Source organism: Homo sapiens, chromosome 19 (genome assembly GCF_000001405.40).
Source record: "Homo sapiens chromosome 19, GRCh38.p14 Primary Assembly".
NCBI classification, from domain to species: Eukaryota; Metazoa; Chordata; class Mammalia; order Primates; family Hominidae; genus Homo; species Homo sapiens.
Window position 1 is genome coordinate 20398369 of NC_000019.10, and position 26906 is coordinate 20425274.

Consider the following 26906-nt stretch of genomic DNA (forward strand, 5'->3'; position numbering starts at 1 on the left):
AAGGGGTTGTGGGATGGTTAAAAGCTTTGCTGCATTCTTTACGTTTGTAGGGTTGCTCTCCAGTATGAGTTATCTTATGAATAGCAAGCTGTGAGGACCAGTTAAAGGCTTTGCCACACTCCTCACATTTGTGGGATTTCTCTCCAGTATGAATTATCTTATGTGTAGTAAGGGTACAGGAGTACTTAAAGGCTTTGCCACATTCTTCACATTTTTAGGGTTTCTCTCCAGTATGAGTTATCTTATCTGTAGTAAAGGTTGAGTACCAGTTAAAGTCTTTGCCACATTCTTCACATTTGTAGGGTTTCTCTCCAGTATGAATTTTCTTATGTGTAGTAAGGGTTGAGGACTGGTTAAAAGATTTGCCACATTCTATATGTTTCAAAGGTTTTTTTACAGTACGTCTTCTGTCTGTTTGAATTTGAAAATTGATGAAAGACTTTCACATATTTATCACATTGAAATATTTTGCAATGGGTAGTTGTCAAGCATTGGTTAAGCCCATTATAACCTCTTTTTTGCACCTTACACTCATCCACACTTTCACATCCTTTTTTTAACTGTAAATTGCCATGTCCACATTTTTTATATCTTCTCAGTATCACTTTTTGAAAAGAATCTTTTATGTTCTGCTCTAGCCAAAGTTCTTGGGCAAAATGAGAACAAATAACTGAAAGAGACAATAAAAACACAACACTTCAACTGCTAGACTCAGATAAATATATTTTACAAATCTAACCTATAAAATTTCACAGACTACCTAAGGAAGATGACATGGCAAAATACCACAAGCTGTAATTTCTTCCTGGACATATAAATGTAACAAAAACATACTGACCAAAATACAATTTGTAAAAAATGTATAAGTGAATTAAGTGTGTGAAGGGTCCCAGGTGAGCACAATGCAAAGAGCCACATAGAAGATAAAGAAAAGCCTGTTACTTATACCCAACACAGCTCTTCCATATCTCCAGTATAACTCTGTGCCTTTAAAAGTAAATTATTGGCCTGGTGTGGTGGCTTGTGTCTGTAAACCCAACACTTTGGGAGGCAGATGTGGGTGAATCACTTGAGGTCAGGAGTTCAAGACCAGCCTGGCCAAGATGGTGAAACCCCATCTCTACTAAAAATACAAAAAATTAGCCAGGCTTAGTCATGGGCACCTGTAATCTCAGCTACTGGGGAGGCGGAGGCATGAGAATTGCTGGAACCCAGGGGGTGGAGGTTGCAGTAAGCTGAGATTGCACCACTGTACTCTGGCCTGGGTACAGAGTGAGACCCCACCACAAAAAATAAAAATTAAAAAAAAAAAGTTAATTGCCAACCAGGCATGATGGCTCATGCCTGTAATTCCAGCAATTTGGGTGAACAAGATGGAGGACAACCAGAGGTGATCAGCCTGACCAACATGGTGAAACCTCATCTCTACTAAAATACAGAAAATTAGCCAGGGGTGGTAATAGGTACCTGTAATCCTAGCTACCTGGGAGGCTAAGGCAGGATAATTGCTTGAACTCTGGAGGCAGAGATTGTACTGAGCCAAGGTCATGCCTCTGCACTCCAGACTAGTTAATAGAGTGAGGCTCTGTCTCACACATACACACAAAAATGTAAATTGCCAACTCCTGGTTTCTTTTTTAAAAAACAAGAAAAATATTGACACATACATCTTTATTTCTGGCTTCTAGGGGCTTTTTTAGACACTAGTTGATATGTCCCATGACACAAAATGCCAAAAAAAATGGTGATATATGTTAGAATGACACTTTGAGTCTGAAGGTAAATTATAGAGAAGCAGAGAAACTGCAGTAACCCAAACAGGGAATGGGTGTAGTGAATGATTACTTATTATTAACTAAACAATAAACATAAAATTTTAAACAAGACACACCTTAAAAACATGTTTGAGGAATTCTCAGAATCTAGAGTCAAGACAATTGATTTCAGACTATGCCAGGACAGAGCCATATTATAAAGACTGTAACAGGTAGCTTTTTGTTAATGTCCTAATCTCAATCAAAGGTTATAATGTATACCAAATATTAGAGCAACATGGCCCCATCAAAAAAATTATAAAATTTTCAAAAGCAACCATAAAAAGTATGTAAAGTAATTTTTAAAATTCCAAATGAATTGAACAGCCCAGTGTTGGTAGCTCATTCCTGTAATCCCAACACACTGGGAGATCAAGGTGGGAAAATCACATGAGGTCAGAAGTTTGGGACCAGCCTGAGCAACATGGTGAAACCCTGTTTCTGCTAAAAATACAAAAATTAGCTGCGCATGGTGGCATGTGCCTGTAATCCCAGGTACTTGGGAGGTTGACACAGGATAATTGCTTGAATCCAGGAGGGGAAAGTTGCAGTGAGTGGAGATTGTACCACTGCAATGCAGACTGGGCAACAGAGCAACACTGTCTCAAAAATAAAGTAAAAAAGGCCAGGCACAGTGGTTCATGCCTGTATTCCTAGCACTTTAGGAGGCTGAAGTGGGTAGATCATTTGAGGTCAGGAGTTCAAGATCAGCCTGCCCAACATGGTGAAACCCCATCTGAACTAAAAATACAAAAAATTATCTGGGCATGGTGGCAGGCACCTGTAATCCCAGCTACTCGGGAGGCTGAGGCAGGAGAATTGCTTGAACCAGGAGGCAGAAGTTGCAGTGAGCCGAGATTGAGCCACTGCACTCCAGCCTCGGTGACAGAAAAATACTCTGTATCAGAAAAAAAACCAGAAACACAGACAACTATTGAAGATCAGAAAAATGAGAACAAAAAGAAATACTAAAGTAAACACACACAAAAAATTGTGGATATAAAAAGTACAAAAAATAACTGAAAAATTTATTACAAGAAAATACGTAAACATGAAAAAGCTGAAAAAACAAACTTAGATACACACAAATATATTTATAACACCCAAATAAGCAAAATTTCAAAAATCACATATAAGAATAGAATTTTGGGTGCTGAAGATAAAAATGATGTTCCGTTTATAAGCATAGTCTCATGAGATAACCAGTGAATTTATTTAAAACATTTTTGCATGTCAAAAGGAAACTGATATTGTTAAATTTATAATAATAATAAAAAAGCTGTCAAATGGGAATAATACCATCAGCAAAATTGTACTATCAGATAAAAAGAAGTCCTTCCAAAATAACCAAATCCTGAGAAAGTATATTGGCACTGCATACACCCTACATATCAAAGATGCTGAAAGGAGTTTCTTCCACTGAAAATAACATAATGTAAGAAAACACCACATAATCATATGAAAATACATAACTTTCTGGAAAAGATATGCAAATTCACAAAAATGGTATTTCTTACTTAACATTATCATAATGATACAGAAAACATTTTTAATTATTCTCTAAATTTAAAAGATAAAAGTACAGAAATTATTAACATCTGTTAATGGATATACAACATAAGAAATATAATTAACAAAATCAATAACAAAGTTGAAGGCAGATGTTATGATGAATAATTTTGGTATGTAACTGAAGTTAATTTTTTACCACATTAAAATACATTTTTGGATATTTTAGAGGTTTTATGGAGTCCCCTGGTACCACTAAGATTATATCTGTAGAGCTACACAAAAGTAAATAAGAGGGAACTGAAAGCCTATCAATACAAAAATAAAAAAAACACAAAAAAGGCAGAAAGAGAAAATGAGAGACAAAGACACAACAATCAAATAAAACAATTAATAAAAATAACAGTAAATTTTTCTATTTCAGAAAACTATTTAAATATATATGTTATCTTTCCAATCAAGAAACATACTTTTTTTTTTTTTTTTTGAGATGGAGTCTCGCTCTGTTACCCAGGCTGGAGTACGGTGGTGTGATCGGCTCACTGCAACCTCTGCCTTCCAGTTTCAAGTGATTCTCTTGCCTCAGCCTCCTGAGAAGCTGAGATTACAGTTGCCTACCAGCACACCTGACTACTTTTTGTATTTGTTAGTAGAGACACGGTTTCACCGTGTTAAACAGGCTGGACTCAAACTGCTGACCTTGTGATTCACCCACCTCAGCCTCCCAAAGTGCTGAGATTACAGGCATGAGCCACCACACCTGGTGGAGTTTACAGTGAGCCAAGATCACACCACTGCTTTCCATCCTGGGCAATAAAGCAAGACTCAGTCTCAAAAAAAAAAAAAAGACGGTACAGAAAAACTTTAAAATTCTTTTATAAAATATAAAAAACTATGTAAATTTGCATGAATCAATCAATAGATACACCATATGAAATAATTTTTATAACAATAACAAACTAGAAAATGTAGAGGCATAGTTTTTGTGTTCAATTGAAGTTGTTATGAGATTAAAACATATTGTTTTAACTTTAAGATGTATGTAATCTCTGGTTTTCAAAATGATTACAAAGGGAATATTTGTAGAAAGTATGGAAAAGAAGATAAAAAATAATCAAAGCATGCCAGTACAAAATTAAATGAAAATTAAGAAAGTAAAACAGCAAATGAGAAAAATATAACTACTAGAAACACATAAAACAATAACAATATAACTGGTAATAACAACTTCATTTCTTTAAGTAATCATTGTAAATATAAATTAATTAAACTGCTTAATAAAATGAAATGTAATTGGAGGACTTTCAAAGGCCAAGGTAGGCTGATCACTTGATCCCAGGAGTTCAAGACCAGCCTGGGGAACATGGCAAAACTCTGTCTCTACAGAAAAAAAGCTACCTGGGTGTGATGGCACTTACTGGTAACCCAGCTACTTGAGAGGCTAAAATGAGAGGATCATCTGAGGTTTGGAGGTTCAGTCACCAGTGAACCATGCAAATCAGCCTGGTTGACAGAGTGAGACCCTATCTCAAAAATAACTGAGGCTGGGCACAGTGGCTTATGCCTGTAATCCCAGCACTTTGGGAGGCTGAGGCATGCAGATCACCTGAGGTCAGGAGTTTAAGAGACTGGCCAACATGGTGGAATCCCATCTCTACTAAAAATACAAAAAATTAGCCAGGCGTGGTGGTTGGTGCCTGTAATCTCAGCTACTCAGGAGGCTGAGGCAGTAGAATCACTTGAACTTGGGAAGTGGAGGTTGCAGTGAGTTGAGATCATGCCATTGCACTCCAGCCTTGGCAACAAGAGTGAAACTTTGTCTCAAAATAAATAAATACATACATAAATAAATATACCTAAAGAAAAATCCATAGAATGCCTCAGTGGTTTCTTAAAAAGCATACTGTATGCTGCCCACAAAAGACTCATCGTAGCATTGAGTCAAATAGGCTGAAAGTAACAGAAGGAAAAAAATGTGTATTTCATGAAAATTGTAACCACAATTGAGTGAGGTGGTCATAATTATATTAGACATAACATGCTTTAAGTCAAGCACTACCATTAGGTGAAGACTGATATTATATTATAGTAAAGTGAGTTAATTTACCAGGAATCTATAACTATATTCATCTATCTATATGTATATGTGTATATAACATCAGGGCTCCAAAATATATAAAGCAAATATTGACAAAACTGAAGCAAGACATACACAGCAACGTAATAGTTGTAGACATCAAGACCCCATTTGCAATAATAGAAAATTCAGAGAAAAAAATGAAAAACAAAACTTAGACAATATTAGACTATATTATTTTGCATACAGAGGAATACTTCAGAGATTATAATTTATAAAGAAAAAAATTATGTGGCTCACACTTTGGCAGACTGTAAAAGAAGTGTGTGCCAGCATCTGCTTCTGGTGAGGGTCTCAAAAAACTTACAATCATGGTAGAAGGTAAAGAGTAACTGGACATATTATATGGTATGAGACAGAGCAAGTGTGAGGTAAAGAAGCCAGGTTCTTTTAATGAACCAGCTCTCATCTGAATTAATAGAGTGTAAACTTTTTGGTTACCAAGAGGATGTACCAAGCCATTCATGAGAAATTTTCCCCCATGACACAAAAATGTCCCAGCAGGTCCCACATCCAACATTGAGGATTTATCTTGCAGCATGAGTTCTGGAGAACATGGACATCCAAACCATATTATAGACCAACTAGGCTTCACAGACACACACAAAACTCTCCAGTCAAAACCAAGATAATACATAATATTCCCACTTGCATCTGGTGTATTCTGTTATGACATATACCAAGTTTTATTAAATTTAAAAGTACTGACTAGGTGCAGTGGCTCTCGCCTATAATCCTAACACTTTGGGAGACCAAGGTAAGAGGATCCACTGGGGCCAAAAGTTTGAGACTAGCCTGGGCAAAATAGTGAGATCCTAACATTACAAATAAGCAAACAATTAGCCAGACATGGTAGTGCATGTCTGCAGTTCTAGCTACTCAGAAAACTGAGGTGAAAGGATAACTTGAGCCCAGGAGGCTGAGGCTACAGTGAGCCAAAATTATGCCTCTGCACTCCAGCCTCAATGTCCATAAGATCTTGTCTCAAAACAACAACAAATCAATTAAAAAACACTAAAATTACACACTCTTGTGTTTTCTAACAAAAACTGAATGAAACTAGGAATTAAAAGCACAAGCCAAACAGGCAAATTCAAAAATATGTGAATATAAGACACATTCTTCAACATATTCTTGCTCAGGGGTCAAAAAACTTTATTTTTCAAAGATGTTAATACAACCTACAGTTAAAAGCTACAGTAACATAAACAATGTGATACTGACACAAAGATAAACAGATGAAAGAACAGAATAGAGAGCTCCGGAATGAACCCTTCTGTATATGATCAAATGATCTTCCAAAAGGTTGCCATGAGTACAAAATAGAGAAAAATCATCTCTTCAAAAAATGGTGTTGAAAACTGAATATCAACATCGATAAAATAAAGTTGGATTATTTTCTTGAATGATACAAAAATATATTTTAAATAAAATACTTAGACACAAAAAACTAACAAATCTTTCAGAAAAAATACAGGAAAAAGACATGACATTGTCTTGGCACCATTTTCTTAGATATGACATTAAATGCATGAGCAACAAATACAAGAATAGAAACCATTAACTATAGTAGATGTCAAAATTTCTGTACATCAAAAGAAAATTCGAGAATGACAACATATTTAGAAAATGGGTGAATATATTTGCAAATTACATGTGAAAAAAGTTAATATTAAAAATATATCAACAACTCTAAAAACTAAACCATAAAGTTCAATAACTTGATTTATAAATGAACAAACAAAACTTTCATCAAAAAACTACACAAATGGGAAGAAACATTTGACAGGATGCACAAAATTACTCATTTGCAGAGAAATGAAAAAAAAACACAATGACAGCGAAATCATCTCACACCCATTAGAATGGCCACTATATATTTTTTAAAAAATGCCAACTCTGTTGATGATGCAATAAAAATGAAACCCATGTTGGTTGTTGGTGGAAAACAAAGATGTAGTCATTATTTTAAAATGTTATTAATGTTCCTCATTTATATATCTATATACAAAATATGTAACACAGGCCAGGTGCAGTGGCTTAAGCCTGTAATCCTAGCACTTTGGGAGGCCAAGGTGGGCAAATCACCTGAGGTCAGGAGTTTGAGACCAGCTTGGCCAACATAATGTACGCTATCTTACTAAAAATACAGAAAATTAGCTGAGCGTTTTGGCGGGCACCTGTAATCCGAGTTACTAGAGAGGCTGAAGCAGGAGAATTTCTTGAACCCAAAAGGCAGAGGTTGCAGTGAGCTGAGATCGCACCACTGCACTTCCGTCTAGGTGACAGAGCGAGACTCCATCTCTACAAAAATAAATATATAAATACATAAATCACAGGAATGAATGAATGAATGAATGAATAAATAAATGCAACAGAGGACCAGGAAGACATATTTGAAAATCCATGGCCAGGCTTGGTGGCTCATGCCTGTAATCCCAGCACTTTGGGAGGCCAAGGTGGGTAGATCGCCTGAGGTCAGAAGTTCGAGACTAGCCTGGCCAACATGGTGAAACCCTGTCTGTACTAAAAATACAAAAATGAGCCGGTGTGGTGGTGGGCATGTGTAATCCCAGCTACTCAGGAGGCTGAGGCAGGAGAATCACTTGAACCTGGGAGGTGGAGGTTGTAGTGAGCCAAGATTGTGCCACTGCACCCTGGGTGACAGAGAAAGACTCCGTCTCAAAAACAAAACAAAACAAAACAAAACAAAACAAAAAAGAAAAGAAAGAAAGAAAAGAAAATCTATGTTTATTGCATCAGTATTCACAAAAGCCCAAAGGCTGAAGCAACCCAAATTTCTCTTGATTTATAAACATATCAAAAAATATAACATATACATACAATGGAATATCGTTCCACCTTAAAAAGAACAATCTTGTCACATTTTAAGATGAACATTGAGAATATTATGTCACTTGAATTAATCCAGTAAGAACATTATGGGTACTGTATGATTCCACTCATATGAGATACCTTAAGTAGTCAAAATCATAAAAACAAAGTGGAAGGTTTGTCTGTCAAGGACGGGAGAGAGGGTAAAATGAGCAGATGTTACTTAATGGGTATTGAGTTTAAATTTTACAAGATGTAAGGTTTCTAGAAGTTTTTTGCATAACAATGTCAATATACTTAACATCCCTGAAATGAACAGCTTTTCTTTTGAGACAAGGTCTCACTCTGTCACTGAAGCTAAAGTGTAGTGGCACACCTTTGACTCCTCCTCAACGTCCCAAGTAGCAGGTACCACAGCTGCACACCACCATGCCTAGCTATTACTAAATTTATTTTATATAGAGGGGTCTCCATATGTTGCCCAGACTGATCTCAAACTTTTGGGCTCCAGGGATCCTCCTGTGTTGGCCTTCCAAAATCCTGGGAATACAGATGGGAGCCACAACCATGCATGGCCCTGAAATATAGACTTGAATAGATTTAAGATGGTAAATTTTATGTTACGTGTTCTTAAAACAATTTTTTTAAAGAAAAACTGAAAAATGTCCAGAATTATAAATCATTTTGAAAATTACCTTCAAATCACAAAAATGTTTCTCTCACAAAAGAAAATATATGTTCATCATTAAACACATGGTGAAAATAAGACTGTGTCTATGGCTACTCACTTAAACAAGAAAATTTTATGGTCAGTTCTGCCTATATAGAAACTCACACAGTTTTCTGAGGAAACGCTCTCTGGTACTCACTAAAAGCCACACTCATCCACATCCTGATATAAGGCCGAGCGTATGCAGACCTGACTGCAAAAACATGCTGTAGTGCCTGCCCTACTGAGCAAAGTCCTGAAGGATATGCAGTCTGTCCAAAAATAAAATGGGAATTACAACTACCCAAGTCCCTGTATCAAGCCAACTAAAGGGGAACCCTAGTGCAGACCCAGCAGCCTTGTGACCAAGCTACAACCCCTCTTCACTACAAATTCAGAGGGTGTCTCATCACCCTAAGGGCCCAACAAAAGATCATTACCTTCTAAAATAAGTTTATGAAAACATGAAGTGTTTGCTCCATCAAATTCAGACACCAATACAAAACTATATTGTGCCCATTGTCAATATTTCTATTTTAATGTAGCACTGGAAGCATGTGGCAGAATTAGTCAAAGAAATAAAAAAATCCATTAAAATTAAAGAAAAATAAGTAAAAATTGGTGTTTGTAAATCATACAATCTTATATTTAAAAAACCATAAACAGCACATTAAAACCTGTCTAAACTGATAAATACACTCAGTAAATTAGCAAAATATAAGATTAACATACAAGTATATGTATGGTCTCATACATTTAAAACAAACTGATAAAATAGAGAAAGACAAAAACCTTATTTACTATAGCATTAAATAATATACTTCTTAGAAAAAAAATAAACAAGGAGGTAAAAAATCTTTACAATAAAAAAAAAAGAAAAAATTAGAGAAGATCCAAATAAATTTAAAAATTGGCATATTATCCAAAGTGATCTATAGATTCAATAAACTTTCTATCAAAATTGCAGTGGTATTTTTTTCATAGTAGTGGAAAATACGATTCTAAAAGTTACATGAAACTAAGATAACTTTGATAGCCAAAGCAATCTTGAGGAAAAAGAACAAAGCAGAAAGATACCATACTTATAATTTCAAACTGTATTTCAAGACTACATAGTAATAAAAACAGAATGTATTGTGCAGAAAAATGAACAAAAAATGCAATACAAACTATTACTCTTATACATTTCAGATCTGATGCAAAAAGAGAACTTAAAAAATAGTTTTAGTTTCTCAAAATCATGCAGATATTTTTGTGTCCCCAAAACAATGGAAAAGCAGCCAGATTGAGCAGACTCATATGTCATAAAGAGGACTTTGGTTCTCACTGTGAACTTGAAAGAAGCTCAACAAAAGAATTCTTAGAGAATTTAAAAGCATGATACAGAAGATGTCCCTTGGTGAGAACAAAATTAAAAACCAACCAGCCAACCAAACAAACAAACAAAAAACAGCTGCCCAGGAACTATTTCCTTTAGAACACAGCTTCCCAGGTCACATTTTAAGGACTGGCCTTCTCTTGGATGTTGCGACCTCTCATTTGTGTCATCTGTTGTATTCATTTTCACTTGCACCTACCTGGGGGTTTGGCAATCATCTCATGTCTCTTCACGGTCAGAGGTTTTTTTCCTTGCTCCAGACAGGTGATCAGTTCTGGCTTGGAGAGAACAATACCTGTTTTATTAAAAATAAATAGCATGAATCTTGCTTATATTGTTTAATTACAAGCTAGTAGTGTGCTCAGCAGAGAAGATGAAATAAAATATTCTAGTAAATTAATGCCAAAATACTAATTTATAACAAATTTCTAAATATTAAGAAATAATTTCAACTTGTAGGTTTCTTTTGTTTTGCTCTTGTTGCCCAAGCTAGAGTACAATCACTCAATCTCGGCTCACCGAAACTTCAGCCTCCCAGGTTCAAGCAATTCTGCTGCCTCAGCCTCTGGAGTAGCTGGGATTACAGGCCTGAGCCACCATGCCTGGTTAATTTTGTATTTTCAGTAGAGATGGAGTTTCTTCACGTTGGTCAGGCTGGTCTGGAACTCCGGACCTCTGGTGATCTGCCTGCCTCAGCCTCCCAAAGTGCTGGCACCTGGCCACCACACTGGGCCCTGCTTATAGGTTTTTTAAATTTTACTACTTGGTACTACTGAATCAAAAATGGCTTGTGTCAATGAGATTTTCAGGTGGGGGCAACAATATTTTATGCAACTAAATTTCTGGAATTACCACTAATTTAGAGTGAAGAATAGAGCTCAAGTCAGGAATGCAGAAGTTTGGATTAAGGTGAAACATCTTGCAGAAATTCTTTTCTACATGAACAAATTCTGAAGATTTTCTGGAAAAAGGCCATCTGAAACTCTTATGCAAAGAATAAATTATTTAAAAACATTCCACTAAAAAAGAAATAAAACTTTTAGGGTTTTTTGTGAATTATGTATTTAAGTTGTCCTCACCAAGGAAGACCAGGTGTCTGTAGTTCTCTAACATCACATCCCTATATAAATTCCGCTGTGCAGTGTCCAGGCAATGCCACTCCTCCAGAGAGAATTCTATGGCCACATCTGTAAATTGCAATGGCCCCTGAAACACACACACACACACACACACACACATTTTTACCAAGTCGCCATGGGTGGAATTTTTGACTTAAGATGAAATGAGCGAGTAAAGAGAACTGATTCTGACTTATAGGACTAAAATTATCCAGTAAAACAATTTTCAACACAGAAATATTCCCTATTATATTCTCTGACTCTGAGAAGAGCAGCATAAGATCTACAACATTATTTCATGTATGATATTTTTCTAAATAATAAAGTATAAAATTAACAGCATGAACATGAACATGTACATTTTTGAGTGCTATATTTACATCACATGGAATTATGAATATTTTTCAGATGGAAAAGACATGTTGAGTTAGAAGGCACCTCTCAAAATTTTTTTTTTTTTTTTGAGACGGAGTCTCGCTCTGTCGCCCAGGCTGGAGTGCAGTGGCATGAACTCGGTTCACTGCAAGCTCCGCCTCCTGGGTTCAAGCCATTCTCCTGCCTCAGCCTCCAGAGTAGCTGGGACTACAGGCGCCCGCCATCATGCCTGGCTAATTTTTTCTGTATTTTTTAGTAGAGACGGGGTTTCACCGTGTTAGCCAGGGTGGTCTCAATCTCCTGACCTCATGATCCACCCGCCTCGGCCTCCCAAAGTGCTGGGATTACAGGCGTGAGCCACCGCGCCTGGCCTCAAATTTTAATATGTACAATAAGCTGAAGACCTTATGCAGGTTTTTTTTTTTTTCCAGAAGATCTGGCATAAAGTCTGATTTTTTGAATTTCTAACAAGCTCACCAATAATGTCAATGTTTTTGTCCCAAAAAGGATATTTTGTCAAACATGCAGTAAGTGGAAGAGCATGTGTTTTTCCCAGTTTTCCTGGCCTGTAAACAAAGAGCCTTCATTTTCCAAAGAAAAGTATGTAGAAAAAAAAAAAGCTGCCAGATTTAATGTGATGGTTTATCCACATCAGCTGCATAAAGATAATTAATAATGGGGCCGGGCACAGTAGCTCATCCCTGTAATCCCAGCACTTTGGGAAGCCGAGGCAGGCAGATCATGAGGTGAGGAGATCAAGACAATGCTGGCCAACACGGTGAAATCTTGTCTCTACTAAAAATACAAAAAATTAGCCGGGCATGGTGGGGGGCGCCTGTAATCCCAGCTACTCGGGAGGCTGAGGCAGGAGAATGGTGTGAACCCAGGAGGCGGAGCTTGCGTTAGCTGAGATTGCACCACTGCACTCCAGCCTGGGTGACAGAGCGAGACTCTGTCTCAAAAATAAAAAAAAAAGATAATTAATAATGAAGAGAAAAATAATTAACTCTACAGTGAAAACAATCTGTCAGAGAGCTATTTCACCAAGTGAATTATAAACCATTAACTGCACAAGGACAAATTTTCATGATGCGCTAATGCACACAGAAGAACACAACATCACTGTTGAAATATTCCTCCCAAGGAAGTAAATAAAATCTGAATTTAATAATAAAGAAACATGTTTATGCTAATTTCAAAGTACAGAAAACTCCTATGTTCTGTAATGTTCAGTAGTAATTTTAAGGAGACTTCATTTAGCACCCAAGAGATCAGGTATCTCCTAATAATTTTTTTCAGAACTTTCTGAGTAATAAATGCCATTCCATATAAATAAGTATTGTCTTAATCCTGTTCTGCATAAATTAATGAAACACACAGATGGAGCCTCAACATTACACGTTCTCCATCTTTACTAAGGACAAAAGTTTTCCCCAATAGAAATCTTGAGTAGCCGCATCTTTCCATGTTCAACAGCCACAAAGGGAACATTTTTAATATTGCAGATCATAACTTATTGCTGAGAATCCTGCATGGCATATAAGAAGCTATGACACAGAGAATGCAGAGAAAGCTCTGGGATATAGAAGAAAAATTATTTTTTCAGAGACCCTTGACTATCGTAAGAATTTTAAGTAGTTAAACCAAACCCAGGGAGAAAAAACACAAGTAGAGAAGTAAAGGTTTGTGAGTGCTACATGCATGGCAGTCCAGGAGGCAGAGTGAACACAGCTCTTCATCTGAGACATGTTTACCTGAAGAGAAGCCTTTTTTTTTTTTTTCACCTCCTCCTCTGGAATTCCTTGTCAGATGAGATTCTCTGGCCAAATTACCCCTGCATCTTGAGACTATGCCTTTAAATGTGTCAGCACCACATGTTTACCTGCTAGCATGACATCAACTGGCAGAAAAAGACAGAAAAAGTCCACCCATTTCTGTTTTTTACAACAAAAAGATTCAAGAACAATGAGATGCTCCATGAAGATAAAAATATAAGTTTCTCCTTTCATGTCCTCTGGTGCCCTTTCTGCCACAGACACCAGCAATTTCTGCTACAGTAATGGAAATATGTGCCACACTGACCTGCCCCTACCAAAACCAAACAGAACAGGTCCTGTGCGCACCACTTAGTGCAAAGGTGGAACTTCTTAACTCTCATGAAAGTATTTTGAGACCCTCATACCTGATTCTGGCCTCCCCTTAGAGTCACGTGAAGCCCTTCATTAAAACAACATGGATACTTCCACCCAGAACAATAAACAGAACCGGTGGGGAAGGCACAAGAGATTTCTGCAAATTGGCCATGTGATCCTAATGAGAAGCCTGGGCTGATAACCACTAAGCTAAGCATTGCCTCTCAAGCTTTAAGAAGCTTATAAATCACTTGGTAATTTTGACTCCACTTTATGTGATTCTGTAGGTTTGAAAAGGGTCCATAAATGGGTGTTTTAAACAAGTCCCCTGTCAATGCTGATGTTGCTTCTCCTTGGCTCATTATTAGCATTAGAGAAAGCAGGAATAGCAGAGGGTCCCTTACACTTAGAACTCTTGTCACAACCAAATACTTCTGGTACAAATAAGGACAACACATCTATGCTAAAGTTTTATATTCTTTGCTGGGTCTTTAAAGTTTACAGAGGAAACAGAAGGCAGCAATGTCTGGATAAGTCTGCATTTAAAAAACATGTACACATGTACAAATGCAATGTTTATTAAGCAGGTACTTTGTGCTCAAGAGTATGATACAGAGCACTATGCTGGGCATAACATATTATGTGATTTAATTCTTGTAACATTCTTGGAGCTAGTACTCAGGGTTTAATAATTTCCAGGATTTAGATAAAGGGCAGAGAATTTTTACTGCCTCTTCTGTTTCTCTGTTACCAAATTTTTTTAAACATTGTAAAGAATAAAAGCTAAATATATACAGATGAAAGAGATATAGAAGAGTTTATTGTAGTTTAGAGAAAATTTTATTCTGTTTATGTTTACTTTTCTGTGACTTGTGGAGCAACTACTGGATCTGCAGGAATAGAAAACAAGTTGCTAAATAGAATGTCTCTGCCAACACTGGTTTTAACAGAAAATTTAAAAACTAAGACTCTACAATACATACTTTATTTTTCCCATTTATCTGCTTTTGGGTTTCAGGAAATTGGATTCACCAGCCAAAACTCTGATATCTTCTAATCAGTTCTGTGAGGCAAGACTCCAGAGTAGGGTCAGACCTAAATAAGGCCTCCAAAAAGGGTGAATCTGAACATGTCTGGGACAAGGTGAGGATCCTATAGAATTCTGTTCTCTATGCCACTGTGGTACTAACAGTTTTCTTTTTTTCTAATCTTACCTAAAAGAAAAACCCCAGAGTTTCTGTAATTTTAATATTTTCTAGCACTGCTCTGTCAACTTTATACTGTATACTAATATGCAATTTAAACAATTCTCTTAAGGTTTTCTAGGGTAATTTTATAAGAAAATCAGTGTGTACACTTACGAAGGTAAAAGAACAGAAATTATACGGCTGGGCACAGTGGCTTACACCTATAATACCAACACTTTGGGAGGCTGAGGTAGATGGATCATGAAGTCAGGAGTTCATGACCAGCCTGACTAAGATGGTGAAACCTCTTCTCTACTAAAAATACAAAAATTAGTTGGCTGTGGTGGGAGGCACTGTAATCATAGCTATTTGAGAGGCTGAGGCAGGAGAATCGCTTAGACCCAGGTGACAGAGGTTGCAGTGAGCCAAGATCATGACACAGCATTCCAGGCTGGGTGACAGACTAAGACTCCATCTCAAAAAAAGAAAAATTAATTATAACAATTCTACTGTTCATTAATATCCCTTCAGGTGGTAGGTACCATGACTGCTTCATGTATTTTTTTTTAATGACCATAAGAAATGGAAGCAACTAGTTTATCTACTTGGGTCTCCAGATCTCCTTGTTTATCATCCAAGTACCAGGAAACTGGAGAAACTCTCATCCCTGTACAAACCAAAGACAACTCTTGTATGATGGGTTGAACAAACACAGAATGACTCATTTTTCTTTACACTGAGACAGAAGCAGAATTAACCACTCTTGTCAGCCTGACACAATTCTACTCTGGACATCCTCAAATGCCTCAAAGAAACCTAGGTGATTGTGAGGGAATTCCCAGTGACCCAGGGCTGATGGCCCAATGATAAGCCAGGCTGGAGCGACTCAGGCTGATTCTAAATAGAAAATAAAACTGCGTTGGTGGAGCCCCAGAACCTGGGTCACCTGTCCTGATATGCTAGCACTTGGGTAAAAGACAGAACAAAAATACTCTACTCCAGTATCCCATTTTACAGGTAAACATAGTTGTGGTCATGGCTCTGGATACTTTGTGGCCTGATCTCTCACTCCTAAGATGATTATTTACACTTACAGATTCTGCCATCAGATTCTATTTCCTCCTGGAGCCTCTCACATCACTGTAGCAGGTCAATGAAAAAGATGTAAAAAAACTCAAAATGCCACACTCTGAAATGGGGGCTGTAAGATGTCTATCTTGACAACTTACAATGCAGAAAATAACTTTTGTTAATTTTCTGTACATTCCATATCCAAAGTCTGGCACTTTTTAAATCCCAGGCAGAGGCCGGACCTAATCTGTAGATTCTAGATAGGATCAACCTGGCTCTGCATCCTTTGGTGTTACAGCAAATGGAGTACAATCAAAGGAGAGTACCCTCATAGAGGCTGCTCTAGAACATTCTAAGTGATAAGTCTAAATAAAAAAAGCTGACATATCAAGAATATAAGTAGACAGTTTATTTGGTTTAAGCTTAAGGATTATAACCAGGGAGCAAAGATTCAAGTTGCCTGAAATCTACACTTTGATTAGCAGCAGTTACAAGATTTGTAAAGACAAGAGAGGGACATAGAGTGGTCTGATACAAAGTTGTTTGTCAGAAGTTTTTATTTATTTAGATAAATAATATTGATTATTGATTAGATATATATCATTATTGTTTAGGGTATAGAATATAGTATCCAATGTGGCATTGTTAATTTACTTTATAGCTACTTGTGGCAATAGTGAACAGTTTCAAGGGATGAATACATAGTTCAAAGGGGAGAGAAAGATGTTAACTGCTCTTTCATTTTAACATCTCTCTGAGTTTGATAACCAAAAGTGCTTGCACTTTTTAGATAAAAGTTTTTTATTTCCCAAATCTCAAGATCTGGATTCAAAATATGGAGCTACAGATTTAGGTCCTGAATGGCAGGAGTAGCAGCAGGTGTTACTTGCACATTAGTGAGCATTTCAGCAAGAGTAGAAAGGGGATAGTGGAGACTTTCTTGTCTACATGTCTACTCAATTCACATGTTACTCCAGTTCAGTTTGTTGGCCCCACGGTCTCTGAATCTGTTTAAGGTCTGAAAATACAAGAGTCATTGAAAGAGAAAAAATTATTGATTGCTTCCCTGTGAAATTTGTAGAAATCTGATCTAGTCTCTCTAGCAGTGACTGTAAAGGACTCTAGATACCAAATAGGCAGGGACACAATTCTGCCTTCATATTTAGGGGACAGCATGCACTTTGCTGCACAAGTGTGAGTTGACTGGAAGCCTGAGAGGAATAGTCCCCTCTAGAGTAAGTTCCGGTTGGCACCTTATTTGTGTTTATATCATGTCTGGTAATTCTAGACAGTGTTTGGAAACAATAATTAAAAGACAGATTTTATCCAGCTCCAGAGAAACTCCACAATAATAGAACAGAAAGAAAATGGTTTTATTACACAATTGAACTTGAATGTGACATGCATCATGGTCAGTCTGCTTAAGAGACTGCAAAGATAGAAAGATGGTCACCAATATTAGTCCCCAAGCAGAAGAATTTCCAGCACCATGTCATACATAGTTCATCCTAAATTCACCTGGAGATTGAAGAGGCCATCTGTGTATACTAATTGCTTATATTCAATGACAAATAAACTTTTCACATCTTCATAACAGGAGGTAGTTTAGCAGCTTGAAGCCAGGTGCCTGCTGAAGGTAGCCTCTTACTCTGCTACAAAAATGGTTGAATAGGGTTCTTTTTTGCTATTTACATTTTAGAGCTGTGGTTCTGTACTCCCTGCCACTGGGCTACAGCACTCCTGCTTGCTTTCTCCTGGTTGCTAGTATGCTCTCTTGACCTCTACCATGTGCCACTGAGGCACAGCCCAGAGCACAGCTCACATTTTATGTGAATCCCATTTGCCACAGCAGCACTTTAGTGTCACATCAGATAGTGAAGCCTGAGCTGCAGGAGGAGAGCCTGCAGGCCTCCTGGGTAGAATTACACATTCACAATAATGGAAATGAGAGCAGTGTTTCAACCTCAGTTTCTACTTATAATGGTGACAAGGAAAAAATACTGCTGAATTTTCAGCATGACTCAAGATAGAGATAGCTCCAAAAGTTCTCACTATGACAGCCCACCTCATTCAGAAAAAAATGGGATATTAATAGGGTTTCTGAAACAGACACCTAAAGCTTTGGAGAGACAAACAGATCTCCGTCTGAGCAAGATTGAGAGAAAAAAGCTAAAACTATCTTAAGAAAAAGCTCAGATTAGATGTAAGATTGATGATGTCAGCCAGAAAATATTCCCCTGAAAGCAATTTCTCTCTAAACACCCAAAGTGCACAGCTACTCTCTGCATGAGAAACATTAGCATTATGAAGAAAGGGGCAAAGTCTCAGAAGAATTTTATAGTTTCTTTTCTATCTCTGCTGATCCATCATCTCCTAGTCATTGAATAGGGGTTCTGTATTGAAATACATCTGACAACTTCCCACAACACCTTCTGATGAAGAAATAGAATCTGACTGTGTTCATTTATTGGAATATATTAGAACTTGCAACATAGCTAACTGAAGAGCTACTATGGTTTTTGGTGGCCACATCACCTGTCTTTATTTGTCATGTAATAGCAGCATACCAATTTAGTGAAATAAAAGATATTAAAATTTTGTTTACTCATAATTATCCCTATTGAATAAAGTAATAAACATGTCACACTAATATCTACTTACTGTGACAATTTGGTAATAAATTTTCTTTAGATATTAGATATAAATATCAGTATGAATAATTTTAATAAACTAGTAATAATATATGTAGTTTTAAAAATTGCAACTATACTTCAGTTAAAACACTTTATATTTCAAAAGTATAAATTACAATATTAAAATAACCATGTAAGTGATTCATTCAAAGTAAGTATTGCGGCTTTATATTCATGTTACTGTAGAAAATACTGTTTATGGCTCATGCCTTGTCCACACTTCGGGAGGCTGAAATGGGTGGGTCACCTGGGTCAAAAGTTCAAGATCAAACTGGAGAACATGGTGACACCCATCTCTACTATAAATACAAAAACTTAGTCAGGAATGGTGATGCACACCTGTAATCCCAGCTACTCAAGAGGCTGAGGCAGAAGAATCGCTTGAACCCGGGAGGCAGCGGTTGCAGTGAGCCGAGATCATGCCATTGCACCCCAGCCTCAGCAACAGAGTGAGACTCTGTCTCAAAAGAAAAAAAAAAAGAGAATACTGTTAAATGTATATAAATGCAGGTTGTCTACAAACATTACGTATAACTATGCTAATTATTCTGAAGTAATAAATAGAAAGCAAGGTACAACTACTGACTCCACTGTTAAGTTTATACACTAGACTGTTCTTGTTTTTGCAGTGCAAGTACTTCAGCCTGCAAATATTGGATAATTTCCTTAGATCATCAGGTTTCTGTCAAAGAAACGTAGTATCTTTTATTGTTTACCATTCTGTGTTACTAAATTTAATCCTATCTTTGTGCTAAGCTTTTTTGTGCTCTAAAATTAGCTTTTACCTAAACAAATCTGTGTCTATTTTAAAGGACTAAAAATGAAAAAAATAAAGTTTTCAGAACCAAAAACAAACCAATAAATCTGAAGTACCAGATAACGATAATCTGGAGTCAGAAAAATGACAAAAGGGGATGGGCATGGTGGCTCACGCCTGTAATCCCAGCACTTTGGGAGGCAGAGGTGGGCGGATCACAAGGTCAGGAGGTCAAGACCATCCTGGCTAACATGGTGAAACCCCGTCTTTACTAAAAATACAAATTAGCCAGGTGTGGCAGCATGCGCCTGTAGTCCCAGCTACTTGGGACGCTGAGGCAAGAGAAGGGCATGAACCTGGGAGGCAGATGTTGCAGTGAGCCGAGATTGCCCCACTGCATTCCAGCCTGGGTGACAGAGCGAGACTCTGTCTTAAAAAAAAAAAAGAAAATGAAAAAGAAAAAATGACAAAAGACATTATTTAGCTGTTAATATGATTTACATACATTTCAAAAAAGCAGAGAAAATTGTCTATATATAATCTAAATCCCTTAAGCAAAGAGGGAATAGCAAAATATTTTTTTGGAACTTATTGAAGAGTTTTGAACTCTTGGACATCTGAAATTTGCACACTCTATGCACTTGACAGAATGTTTATGAAGGAAAAACCAGAAAAGAGAAAGATGTTATAAAAAAATCCATGAGTGCACAAGACCAATGCAACAGAATAGAGAGCCCAGAAATAATGCCACCCTCCTACAACCATCAGATTTTTGATGAAGCTGACAAGAGAAATGTGGGAAGGATTCTCTATTTAATAAACAGTGCTGGAATAACTACCTAACATTATGTAGACGACTGAAGCTAGACCTCTTCATTATACCGTATACAAAAATCAACTCAAGATAAATTAAAGACTTAAGTGTAAAACTTAAAATTATGGCGGGGCGCGGTGGCTCATGCCTGTAATCCCAGCACTTTGGGAGGCCGAGGCGGGTGGATCACGAGGTCAGGAGATCGAGACCATCCTGGCTAAAATGGTGAAACCCCGTCTGTACTAAAAATACAAAAAATTAGCCAGGCATGGTGGCGGGCGCCTGTAGTCCCAGCTACTCGGGAGGCTGAGGCAGAATGGTGTGAACCCGGGAGGCGGAGCTTGCAGTGAGCCGAGATTACACCACCGCACTCCAGCCTGGGCGACAGAGCGAGACTCCGTCTGAAAAAAAAAAAAAAAACAGAAACCAACCAAACAAAAAAACCCTTAAAATTATGAGAAACCCTCCAAGATAACCTAGGAAATACCATTCTAGACATAGAAACTGGCAAAGACTTCATGAGGAAGCTACCAAAAGCAACTGCAACAGAGGCAAAAATTGAAAAATGGGACCTATTTTTCAATTGTGAAGATCTTAAGAGCTTCTTCACAGCAGAAGAGATTATCAACAGAGTAGACAACCTACAGAATAAAGGAAAATATTTGCCTCTGACAAAGGTCGACTTTCCAGAATTTATTAAGAGCTTAAACAAGTTTACAAGAAAAAAACAAGCAACCTCATTAAAAAGTAGACAGGACGGGCACAGTGGCTCACGCTTGTAATCCCAGCACTTTGAGGGGACAAGGAGGGTGGATCACTTGAGAGGAGTTCAAGACCAACCTGGCCAACATGGTGAAACCCCGTCTCTACTAAAAATATCAAAAATTAGCTGGGCGTGGCGGCAGGTGCCTGTACTCCCAACTACTCAGGAGGCTGAGGCAGGAGAATGGCTCAAACCCAGGAGGTGGAGGCAGAGGTTGCAGCCAGCTGAGATCACGTCATTGCAATCCAGCCTGGGTGACAAGAGCAAAACTGTTGCAAAAAAAAAAAAAAAAAAAAAAAAAGTAGGCAAAGGCTGGGTGCGGAGGCTCACACCTGTAATCCCAGCACTTTTAAAGGCTGAGGTGTGCTAATCACCTGAGGTCAGGAGTTTAAGATCAGCCTGATAAACATGGATAAATCCCGTCTCTACTAAAAATACAAAATTAGCTAGGCATGGTTGTGTGCACCTGTAATCCCAGCTACTTGGGAGGCTGAGGCAGGAGTATTGCTTGAACCTGAGAGTCAAAAGCTGCCGTGAGCCAAGATCGCACCATTACACTCCAGCCTGGGCAATAAGATCAAAACTCTATCTCAAAAGACAAAACAAAATGAAACAAATAAATAAATAAATAAAACTAATGTAGAAACAGAAAACCAAATGCATGTTATTATTTAAGTAAGTGCTAAATAATAAGAACACATGAACACAAAGAGGAGAACAAGAGACACTGAGGCCTAGTTGAGGGTGGAGGGTGGGAGAACTAAGAGGATCAGAAAACATACCTGTTTGGTACTATGGGTAGGACCTCAATGACAAAATAATCTGCACACCAAACCCCCATGACATAATTTTAGCTGTATAAAAAACCCACACATGTACACCGAATCACAAATAAAACCTAAAAGAAAAAAATACTCCAAGGTGGGGGAGAGTGCAATGTAGGTGCATGGACTGCTTTTCACTATAGATAGTAGCCCAGGTGGGGCTGTACTCTGATTTATTTCTGTGTGAATGCAGGTAGATGAAATTACAAACAGGTGGCCCAGACCCTAGGCTGGTGGAGAAAACAGGTTGCTGCTGCAAATTTAGTATCTAGGGGTGGGGATATGCCAGGAGACTTGTAGAGATTTTTGGGTTCTTGGCAAGAAACACTAGGATCAAAAATGCCATGGTGAAGTTCTTGAGGGTGGTGCCGAGTCCTGGGAGAAGTGTGGATACCTCAATTTCTAGTGTGTGTGTTTGTGAGTGGGTGGGAATCCTGTAGTAGCAGCTGCAAGAAAAGGGGTCTGTCATAAGAGCTTCTTCTGAGTTTTCAGTCCTCTGTCACCCTGGGAGAAGACCTGGAATCACAGGACAATGGGCAATGTGACAGCCTGTGTACAGGAGAGCAGAGCCTCCCATTTCTAAACACCCAGAGCTTTGTTCCAGTCCAGGCCTCTGTGATATCTTTTTTCTGGCACCAAATCTGTAGAGTTTGCTGAGCATCAAACAATTCTCCAACAACTAATTGTCTAACATTTAAATTCTGACACCACCCAGAGTCAGCACAGACCCTGATTCAGGGCTCAGTTCCACAACATTGTCCTCACTGCAGATGCCAGTCACAAACCCCATGGGCCCATCTACGCTTCTGAGCTACTGTTTGAAAACTGGGGACTCCCAAAACCTCCCTGAAGTTCAATGATTTGGTAGAGCTACTCACAGAACTCATCAAAACACTGTAGTTATGTTTACCGGTTTAATATATAAGATGCAGCCCAGGAAAAGCCAAATGGAAGAAATGCATAGAACAAAGAAAAGAGATGGGGAAAGATGAAACACATAGATAATCATGAAAAATGTTTGTGATTAATAAAATTCTCCAGCCGGGCACGGTGGCTCACACCTGTAATCTCAGCACTTTGGGAGGCCGAGGAGGGTGGATCACGAGATCAGAGATCGAGACCATCCTGGCTAACAGGGTGAAACCCCATCCCTACTAAAAATACAAAAAATTAGCCGGGAGTGGTGGCAGGCGCCTGTAGTCCCAGCTACTCAGGAGGCTGAGGCAGGAGAATGGCATGAACCCGGGAGGCAGAGCTTGCAGTGACTGGAGATTGCACCACTGCACTCCAGCCCGGGTGAGAGATCGAGACTCCGTCTAAATAAATAAATAAATAAAAAATAAATTGTCCATCCTTTGTGTACTCCAGGAACAGTTTATGGAAACACCCTTCACCTTATGACTTCAATGGTGCTCTTTTTTCTTACCTATCACACAGGCAAACACACTCTCTGCACATTTTCTCCTATTTCTCATTATAAAAATCAGCTGATTTTTTCTTCAGTGGTCAATTTTTTTTTTTTTTGGTGTGATCGAGTCTTGCTCTGCTGCCCAGGCTGGAGTGCAGTGGCGCCATCTCCATTCAGTGAAACCTTCGCCTCCCAGGTTCAAGAAATTCTCCTGCCTCAGCCTTCCCAGTATCTGGCACTACAGGCGCCCGCCACAACGCTCAGCTAATTTTTGTATTTTTAGTAGACACAGGGTTTCACCATGTTGGGAAGGCTGGTCTTGAACTCCTGACCTCAGGTAATCCGCCTGCCCCGGCCTCCCAAACTGCTGGGATTACAAGCGTGAGTCACCACCCCTGGCCTAAAATAAAGTAATTCTTAATGAAATTTACTTAAGTTTATCTCCCTCCGTCAGGCTCCTGAACTTTGAGCTACCCTCGGTCTGAGTCGACATACAACCCCATTTACGTCCCTCCTAAGAACATGCTGATTTCAGGGTAAGACATTCTGTGATCTAAAATCTGACCTTTTCACCCTCCATTTGCCATTCCCTTCCCACCTCCTTTCTAATCTTGTTTAATCCTCCTTAGGAAAGAAAGTCCTTTTGTGCCTACAGTTTTGCAAGCCACAAAGACCTTATAGTAAGTTGATACTTTCTCCTATTGCAATACTTTTTTGGAATTCATTGTTTTACATAAATCTAACGTTGTTATCTTACAAAGTCTAAAACTTGCCTCAAAACAAAAACTTCATTATCAGTAAGACCCTCCCAGTTTCCTTTCATCTTAATCTTAACTGCATCTGCCTGTGGGGCTCCAGCTTTCCAGGGCTCTGTAGCTTCTCTCAGGATAAAGGCTCTTTCCATAGCTGGGGTGAGCAGGCTGGGACATCTGCAGGGAAGTCTCCCCAGCAAAAAAAGAACTGGGCCTTTAATAACCTCCTGTTGGCCGAGTGCGCTGGCTAAAGCCTGTAATCCCAGCAATTTGCGATGCCGAGGCGGGCGAAAAACCTGAGGTTGGGAGTTGGAGTCCAGCCTGAAAAACATGGAGAAACCTCCTCTCTACTACCACACAAAATTAGCCGGGTGTGATGGCGCAGGCCTGTAATCCCAGTTACTCGAGAGCCTGTGGTAGGAGAATCCCTTGAACCCGAGGTAGAGGTTGCGGCGAGCCGAGATCGAGCCATTGCACTGCACCCTGGGCAACAAGAGCTAAACTCCATCTCAAAATTTAAAAAAAACAAAAAACAAAATAAAAACACCTCCTTTTTGCAGCCTTAATATTAGCCTTAGCTTGGAATTACTAGGTTCAAGCTTCAGTTTCCATGTCAGTGTTATTCACCTGGTTTTTGAAACTAAGTGTTTGAAAAATCCAGTGAAATTACTCAAACATAGTGTTTACATAAACGGAGATTTTAAGATACTTTTTAAAATTTTATTAAACAGGAGTCTCGCTCTCTCATGCAGGCTAATGTGCAATGACGCGATCTCAGCTTACTGCAACTTCCGCCTCCCGGTTTACATAAAGGAAGGAAATTTTAAGATCCTTACTTTTTTTTTTTTGCGATGGAGTCTCGCTCTGTCGCGCATATTGGAATGCGACGGCGCGATCTCGGCTCACGGCAACCTCCGGCTCCCGGGTTCAAGCAATTCTCGTGCCTCAGCCTCCCAAGGAGCTGGGATTACAGGCATTTGCCACCACGCCTAATTTTCGTATTTTTAGTAGAGACGGTGTTTCGCCATGTTAGCCAGGCTGGTCTAGAACTCCTGACCACGTGATTCGCCCGCCTTGCTCTTTGAAAGTGTTGGGATTACGGGCGTGAGCCACCGCGCCCGACCAGGAAGTGGTTTTTTAACCCTAAGGCAGTTTTGTTTTTGTGTTCTTCCCCTATTGCCTGGGGTCAGACCAGATCATCTAAACTGATCCCGACTGGCTTAGACCCCAACTTTTTCCAAATAGGATAAACGGAGATTTGCAGGGAAAGAAGAGGGAAGAAGGCGTAGTATTGATTTACAATTTTTACAATTTATGACCTGGAAGTTGAGTCTTTCAAGAGGAACTTAGTTGTCCTAACAACCCTTTACCTCAAGGGATCCGCCCGCCTCAGCCTCCCAAAATGTGGGATTACAGGCGTAAGCCACCGCGCCTGGCCCCATAAATTTTTAATACGAGAAAAGAGAAACTGTGAACCCCACGGACCAAAGCTCTTCCCATTCGGGAACCCGCACCCCGAGTCAAGATTCTCCCCTAAAGACCCTCTCGTGGTTCCTGCACAATCTGGGAGATACCCGGAGCTGTGGGTGCAGAGCTGCCCAGAGAGGGCTCCAGGCCGGGGCACACTCGCTGCCAAGGGAAGAGTCAGGACGCCCGGGACCGGCTTATAGAGCACCCGCCATCTTTTTTTTTTTTTTGAGACGGAGTCTCGCTCTGTCTCCCAGGCTGGAGTGCAGTGGCGCGATCTCGGCTCACTGCAAGCTCCGCCTCCCGGGATCACGCAATTCTGCCTCAGCCTCCCTAGTAGCTGGGACTACAGGCGCCCGCCATCATGCCTAGCTAATTTTTTTGCATTTTTAGTAGAGACGGGGTTTCACCGTGTTAGCCAGGATGGTCTCGATCTCCTGACCTCGTGATCCGCCCGCCTCGGCCTCCCAACGTTCTGGGACTACAGGCATGAGCCACCGCGCCCGGCGGAGCAGCTTCCATCTTATGGATGGTGGGGACTAACGCCAAGCTGGGCAAGGAGAACTCAGGGCACAGATTGTGGAGCTGACTGCGGGGAGCCCTGAGTCCCGCCACTGCCACTTCCCATCAACCAGTCCCTCCCCTCTCTGGGGATGTTGGACCGGTACTCTTACCATTTCTAGACTTCTAGGGGGTCCTGGCTCTTGGCTGTGGATCTCCCAATACCTGCAGGTCAAAGGGCCTCAGAGGCTGGGCCTCTATGAGCAGAGAACACAGAGCAGTGAACAAGAGATCTGGAGCTCCAGCGGCAGCAAGAGACAAAGGCCGCGCCATACCAGAAAGCCGTCCTCTTCGCTCCAGCTGCCTGCCTGATTGGAGGGTTTCCAGACCAGCCTCCCTGATTGGATTATGCTTAAGGCTCTGCCCCCTCAGTACCTGAGTGACAGAAGATGTAATCAGATTCTGGGCTGAGTGAAGGAGTAACAGCCTAAGATGCAGCCTTTCCAGACAGGGCTTCCTCCCTGAGCTGAGCCAGGCTCACCCCAGAGAAGGGAACAATTCTGTATCTTTTTTACTCTCTCTGTTTTTGAATGTATTCAAAAGGTGAGCAGGAGTATTTTTCTGTCATATGAATAATACATAATATTTTTGTTCAAGAGAAA

At 39.3% G+C, this 26906-nt stretch overlaps 1 long non-coding RNA gene, 1 other non-coding gene and 2 pseudogenes across 4 annotated transcripts, besides 2 other annotated features; 1 reads left to right on the plus strand and 3 right to left on the minus strand.

The window, feature by feature from the left end:
* Positions 1–289: 289 nt before the first annotated feature.
* On the minus strand, positions 290–26597 carry ZNF826P (zinc finger protein 826, pseudogene; annotated as a pseudogene). Its single transcript, NR_036455.1, has 3 exons — positions 26418–26597; positions 10582–10656; positions 290–670 (listed from the first exon to the last, which is right to left on the minus strand). The product of NR_036455.1 is annotated as a zinc finger protein 826, pseudogene (transcript).
* Positions 904–986, minus strand: MIR1270 (microRNA 1270). Its single transcript, NR_036053.1, has one exon. It is a non-coding gene; the product is annotated as a microRNA 1270 (primary transcript).
* On the minus strand, positions 16653–21775 carry LOC124904663 (uncharacterized). 2 transcript variants are annotated; one of them, XR_007067167.1, is made up of 2 exons: positions 21759–21775; positions 16653–17283 (listed from the first exon to the last, which is right to left on the minus strand). It is a non-coding gene; the product is annotated as an uncharacterized LOC124904663 (long non-coding RNA). The 2 variants fall into 2 exon arrangements; XR_007067166.1 differs by lacking the exon at positions 21759–21775 and adding an exon at positions 19298–19340.
* On the plus strand, positions 18146–18698 carry BNIP3P22 (BCL2 interacting protein 3 pseudogene 22; annotated as a pseudogene).
* Positions 24275–25121: an enhancer, noted in NCBI's record as "H3K27ac hESC enhancer chr19:20605449-20606295 (GRCh37/hg19 assembly coordinates)". NCBI's record gives its function as "activates a minimal SCP1, AML or CMV promoter by ChIP-STARR-seq in primed H9 embryonic stem cells {active_cell/tissue: H9 hESC(primed)}" and the evidence as "EXISTENCE:reporter gene assay evidence [ECO:0000049][PMID:30033119]".
* Positions 26362–26571: an enhancer, noted in NCBI's record as "active region_14378". NCBI's record gives its function as "activates an Ori minimal core promoter by ATAC-STARR-seq in GM12878 lymphoblastoid cells {active_cell/tissue: GM12878}" and the evidence as "EXISTENCE:reporter gene assay evidence [ECO:0000049][PMID:35858748]".